Raw genomic sequence first — 6677 nt, forward strand, 5'->3', positions numbered from 1 at the left:
GAAATAAAAATAAAAATAAACTAACCAAAAAAAAACAGAAAAAATTCAGGACACCAAACTCTTCCTGTGGCTTATTGTACTGGGATGGGGGTGTGGGAGATGAACAGAGAAGGGCAGGGAGTGACTTCCCAGGGCAGTGGAGGTGTTTTTATCTTGAGAACGGTGTGGGTTACAGAAGTGTATGCTTCTGTCAAGACTCAACCAACTCCACTTAAAATCTAAGGATTTCATTCTAAGAAAATTATACCCCTGTTAAAAGATGTTAAAAAGTGGAGGAGCATGATTATAGATGACAAGTAAGTGTGCAAGTGAGTTAAAAGACTTACCAACTCTGCCCATCCCCCCTCCAAAAAAGGCATGCAAATTAGCAAGTGAAGATGAGAAAGAGCTGGGTGAGCAGGCCAGGCAGGCCAAAACTCTCCTCCCGGTCTGCCTGGAGGCAGCCTGATTTTCTCTCCAGCACAGATGTCTCTAAGCAGCTGCTGATCACAGTGAGCCTGGGGGCCCTAGGCTCTGGCAAGTACACTCTGTTGTCCAGCATCATCGCACTCCAGCTAAAATGTGTCTCCAGCAGGCAACTGCTCCAAGACCACGTGCTGAAGGAACTAGACGTCGGTGTTCAGTGGAGATGTTCATTGTTGGGTGGGTATGGTGGCTCATGCCTGTAATCCCAGCAACTTTGGGAGGCTGAGGTGGGAGGACCTCTTGAGCCCAGGAATTGGAGGCCAACTTGGGCAACATAGCGAGACCCCATCTCTATGAAAAATTTAAAATTAGCCAGGCATGGTGTTGTGTGCTTGTAGTCCCAGGAGGAAACAGGAGGATCACTTGAGCCCAGGAGGTCAAGGCTGCAGTGAGCTGTGATTGCACCACTGCACTCCAGCCTGGTTAACAGAGACCCTGTCTCAAAACAAAAGAGCAAAAAAACAAAAAAAAAGCCTTCCATTGTCCATGGGATGCTCCACAATGTGATGCAGCTGAAAAGCCGCACCTACTAGAGCGGCTAATGGATGAGGTTTATCTGACAGGCACAATATTCAACCCCAGCCTGCCTTCGAAGACTGCTAAGCACAGCATTCCCACTCCCTGGATCCCTGGAGCCAGTGCTGTGTGTGTCGTGCTGAATTCGACCCTCCACAGCCTATTGGTAACTGTGCTCTGACCGAAGTCTGTTGCCAAGAGACCAAAGCTTGGGAAGCCCCGAGGAACGCTGTTTTGCAATATTAATAGGAAAAAAAAGGTCAGAAACATTCTCCTGAACATAAACCAAGAAGATCTACCCCCATTTACACCATTTCCTACAAAGAAAAAGAAAGTGGCACAAATAAACCAGCCAGAAAGCAGCAGTTACTTCCAGATAAAAAAGGGATAATTAGTAAGATGAGCAGAACCTCCTTTCCCTGCCATTCAGATTCTGGGCCTAAGAATCTAGCAGACAGAAATACTTTTAGATTATATTTCCATTTCACTTCCACTAATTTTGATCTGGATACCAAAAGATGTGCAAAATAGCCCAATAGTAAGATTTAGTTTTTAGGCTGGGCACAGTGGCTCACGCCTGTAATTCCAACACTTTGGGAGGCCAAGGCAGGCAGATAGCATGAGGTCAGGAGTTCGAGACCAGCCGGGACAACATGGTGAAACCCTGTCTCTACTAAAAATACAAAAAAAAAGAAAGAAGAAAAAAGTTAGCCCGGTGTGGTGGTGCACACTTGTAATCCCAGCTACTCCGGAGGCTGAGGCAGGAGAATTACTTGAACCGGGAGGCAGAGGTTGCAGTGAGCCGAGATCGCACCACTGCGCTTTAGCCTGGGTGACAGAGCGAAACTCTGTCTCAAAAAACAAAAACAAAAACAAAAAACCATCAAGTGACATTTAGAAAAAAAAATTTTTTTTTGGTTTTTATGTTTTATTTCATTTTTTGAGACAGGGTCTTGTGCTATCATCCAGGCTGAAGTGCAGTGGTGCGATCATAGCTCACTGCAGCCTCTTAACTCTTGGGCTCAAGGGATCCTCTCACCTCAGCCTCCCAAGTAGCTGGAATTATAGGTGTGTGCCATCAAGCCTGATTAATTTTTTAAATTTTTTTGTAGAGATGGAATCTCCCTGTGTTGCCCAGGTTGGTCTCGAACTCCTGACTCAAGCAATCCGTTCACCTTGGCCTCCGAAAGTGCCGGGATTACAGGGACAAGCCACCATGCCTGACCAAAAATATTATTTTTAAATGGCTTGCTTTTATTTTTCTTTTAAAAGTACGTATGTTTTGAGTGTTATAATTTATGCTAGAATTTGACACCATGATAAGAGTGCTTGAACAAGCACCAAATTTGCTTTTTTTTTTTTTTTTTTTTTTCAGACAGTCTGGCTCTTTCGCCCAGGTGGAACTGCAGTGGCGCTATCTCGGCTCACTGCAAGCTCCGCCTCCCGGGTTCACACCATTCTCCTGCCTTAGCCTCCCGAGTAGCTGGGATTACAGGCGCCCGCTACCGCGCCCGGCTAATTTTTTGTATTTTTAGTAGAGACGGGGTTTCACCGTGTTAGCCAAGATGGTCTCGATCTCCTGACCTTGTGATCCACCCGCCTCGGCCTCCTAAAGTGCTGGGATTACAGGCGTGAGCCACAGCGCCCGGCCCTAATTTTTTTTTTCTTTTTTATTTTTGAGAAAAGATTTCACTGTCACCCAGGCTGGAGACAGTGGCACGATTTCAGCTTACTGCAACCACGACCTTCTGGGCTCAGGTGATCCTCTCACCTCAGCCTCCTGAGTAGCTGGGACTACAGGTGTGTGCCACCACGCCTGGCTAATGTTTGTATTTTTTTAAGAAATGGGGTTTTGCCACATTGCCCAGGCTGGTCTTGAACTCCTGGGCTCAAGTGATCTGCCTGCCTCAGCCTCCCAAAGTGCTAGGATTACAGGTATGAGCCACCACACCCAGCCTCTTTAATTTTTTTCTAGGGAAAAGCTGAATTAGATCACATGTTTTCAGAGGTTTCTCAGTTTAAGGAATTTGTGTGTTGGCCAGGCGCGGTGGCTCACACCTGTAATCCCAGTGCTTTGGGAGGCAGAGGCAGGCGGATTACCTGAGATCAGGAGTTCGAGACCAACCTGGACAGCATGATGAAACACCATCTCTACTAAAAATACAAAAATTAGCTGGGTGTGGTGGCACACATCTGTAATCCCAGCTTTCGGGAGGCTGAGGCAGGAGAATCGCTTGAACTGGGAGGCAGAGGTTGCGGTGAGCTGAGATTGTGCCACTACTGCACTCCAGCCTGGGCGACAGAGCGAGACTCCATCTCAAAAAAAAAAAAAAGAAAAGAAAAGAAAAGAAAAGAAAAAAGAAATGTGTGTGTTGGCAGGGTGCGGTGGCTCGCTCACTCCAGCACTTCGGGAGGCCGAGGTGGGCGGATCACCTGAGGTCAGGGGTTTAAGACCAGCCTGGCCAACATGGCAAAACCCCGTCTCTACTAAAAATACAAAAATTAGCCGGCCGAGGTGGCGGGCACCTGTAATCCCAGCTATTCAGGAGGCTGAGGCAGGACAATCACTTGAACCTGTGAGGCGGAGGTTGCAGTGAGCTGAGATCATGCCGCTGCACTCCAGCCTGTGTGATAGAGCGAGACTCCGTCTCAAAAAAAAAAAAAAAAAGAAAGAAATGTGTGTGTTGCAATCCACTTCCCAGTTTTTCTTTTTTCTGCCCAAATATGCCTTAATGGGTAACAAATCAGAGCACAGTAAAAGGAACAAAAGATAACCCATCGCACTGTGCACATCAAGCCTTCTTTGTCATTAGGAAATAGAAATACATTGAGCATATCTGGATTAAAATATCTCTTGCACTCATAATTAGTAAACAAGAATAGCAACAAAGAGACCACACGTAGTTAGGTCCCAGGTTAAGGAGGTATTGGAAAATAAGTTAGTTTGCTGGAGAATGATCATTAAGTTCTTTGTTCCTGGTGAAAGTCGTTGAAACTGGCTAGCTTTCAGGCTCTCCCATCTCAGGGCTATTGAGTATAATCTGAGCAGCCATTCTGTAATCATTATGGGACTTGGATTCCTGAGTGAGGTAAAGAGGATGTGCATTTATGATGGTCAGACTTGGGGCGGGATAGGTTAGGGAGCTGTGAGCTGTGTAGCAGAGATGGAGGGGCCACTCAGTTATGTGCAAAATTACACATTTCACGCTGAGATTATTGTGCTAAATCAAATGACTGTTCATATGGCGAATGTTATTAACTGCCTTTGAAAGTGTGTTCCACCTCCTAATACTTTAAACATTTTAATACACTGTCAGTCTTTCATCACGGACAAGACTCTCTGCTTGTTCTTGGCAGACGAAAAAAGAAAATGGACAAGGCCTTTAATAGGATTACAACTACATTTTACTCTCCACATTTCCTTCTTTATTAAACTTTCTATATGCCACAATTTTAACATTGATATCAGCCGGGTGCAGTGGCTCACGCCTGTAATCCTAGCACTTTGGGAGGCTGAGGCAGGTGGATTACCTGAGGTCAGGAGTTCGAGACCAGCCTGGCCAACATGGTGAAATCTCATCTCTACAGAAAATACAAAATTAGCCAGGCATGGTGGCGCATGCCTGTAATCCCAGCTACTTGGGGGGCTGAGGCAGGAGAATCACTTGAACCGAGGAGGCGGAGGTTGCAGTGAGCCAAGATCGTGCCACTGCACTCCAGCCTAGACAACAAGAGTGAAACTTTGTCTCAAAAACAAAACAAAACAAAACAAAAAAATTTGATATCTTGTGCTTTTCAAAGTTGTTATGAGATGTTAGACTAAATGATCCATCACTAGGCTCTGAAACATTCTTTATTGCTTTATTATAATATAATTAAATTGTGGCCAGGCACGGTGGCTCACACCTGTAATCCCAGCACTTTGGGAGGCCAAGGCGGGCAGATCATGTGAGGTCAGGAGTTTGAGACTAGCCTGGCCAATATGGTGAAACCCCATCTCCACTAAAAATATAAAAATTAGCCAGCATGGTGGCAGGTGCCTGTAATCCCAGCTACTCAGGGGGCTGAGGCAGGAGAATCGCTTGAACCTGGGAGACAGAGGTTGCAGTAAGCCGAGATCGTGCCATTGCACTCCAGCCTGGATGACAAGAGTGGAACTCCATCTCAAAATAATAATAATAATGATAATAGTAAAATTGCAGGAAAAAATGTAGTACTAAGAAATTGACCCAGAAGGAAAAGGGAAGGAAAAGGAAAAGAGGGAGAAAATAAGAAATAGGGAGGCCATTCTGAGAGCATCTAACATACAGTCCAGGAGTTGAGAATGGGGTGGATGGCAAATACTTTAAGAAATAAGATCTGAGGATTTTTCCAGAATAGAAGAAAGACATGAGCCTTCAGATTAAAAGTACCTAAATACTGAGTAGCTTCAATAAAAATAAGTCATCAAACACATCAAACTGATAGCTGTGGTAGCCTCTAAAAGGGTTGGGATTGGTTTGATGCTCATAGGAGATCTTTGCCTTAGCTGTAATGCATACATTTTTTATAAGGAGACTGGATCGGTGCGTCTCACATGCAGTCAGGAACTATTTTTAAAATAACCTAACCAGACTCAAATGTTGAATTCCTAACTGGAAAGCTAATCACTTGGAAGCCAGGGGGAGACGTCTTAAGCGAGCAGCCACTTGAATCATCACATAGGGTATCTGCCCTCAAAGAGCCAGAGCCTAGGGGAGGAGACAAAGCCCCAGAAAAATATACTGGGAAAACTCCCAATATAGACGGAGATATCAATTGCTGGCACCACCAGCCCGTGTTGATGATACGCTATGTGCCTAACAAACAGTAGCTGATCTAAACTTCATGGCAATCCTACAAGGCTGGGCTATCATTATTTCCACATTATAAAGAATCTGAGGCTGGGCGCACTTTGGGAGGCCAAGGCAGGCAGATCACTTGAGGTCAGGAGTTTGAGACCGGCCTGGCCAACATGGTGAAAACCCGTCTCTTTTAAAAATACAAAAATTAGCCAGGCATGGTGGCACATGCCTGTAGTCCCAGCTACTTGGGAGGCTGAGACAGGAGAATTGCTTGAACCTGGGAGGCAGAGGTTGCAGTGAGCCAAGATTGTACCATTGCACTCCAGCCTGGGTGACAAGAGTGAAACTCCATCCCCTGTGCCAAAAAAAAAAAGAGAATCTGAGGCTTAGAAAAAGTAAGGTGGCCAGGTGTGATGGCTCATGCCTATAATCCCAGCTCTTTGGGAGGCCAAAGTAGGTGGATGATATACCCCAGAAGTTGGAAACCAGCCTGGGCAACATGGTGAAACCCAGTTTATACCAAAAATACAAAAATCAGCCTGGCATGGTGGTACATGCTTGTGGTCCCAGCTTCTCAGAAGGCTGAGGTGAGAGGATCTCTTGAGTCCGGGAAATCGAGGCTGCAGTGAGCTGTGATCACACCACTGCACTCCAGCCTGGGTGACAGAGTGAGACCCTGTTTCAAATAAATAAATAAATAAATAAATAAATAAATAAATAAATAAATCAGAGCTGTGCTCTTAATTAATTAATTAATTTTTGAGAGGGAGTCTTGCTCTGTCTCCCAGGCTGGAGTACAGTGGCGTGATCTCAGCTCACTGAAACCTGTCTCCTGAGTACAAGCGATTCTCCTGCCTCAGCCTCCCAAGTAGC

The 6677-nt window shown here is 45.4% G+C and overlaps 1 annotated feature.

Moving 5' to 3' along the window:
• Nucleotides 355-856: an enhancer, noted in NCBI's record as "H3K4me1 hESC enhancer chr1:31595033-31595534 (GRCh37/hg19 assembly coordinates)". NCBI's record gives its function as "activates a minimal SCP1, AML or CMV promoter by ChIP-STARR-seq in naive H9 embryonic stem cells {active_cell/tissue: H9 hESC(naive)}" and the evidence as "EXISTENCE:reporter gene assay evidence [ECO:0000049][PMID:30033119]".

Source organism: Homo sapiens, chromosome 1, assembly GCF_000001405.40.
Source record: "Homo sapiens chromosome 1, GRCh38.p14 Primary Assembly".
Taxonomy (NCBI): Eukaryota; Metazoa; Chordata; class Mammalia; order Primates; family Hominidae; genus Homo; species Homo sapiens.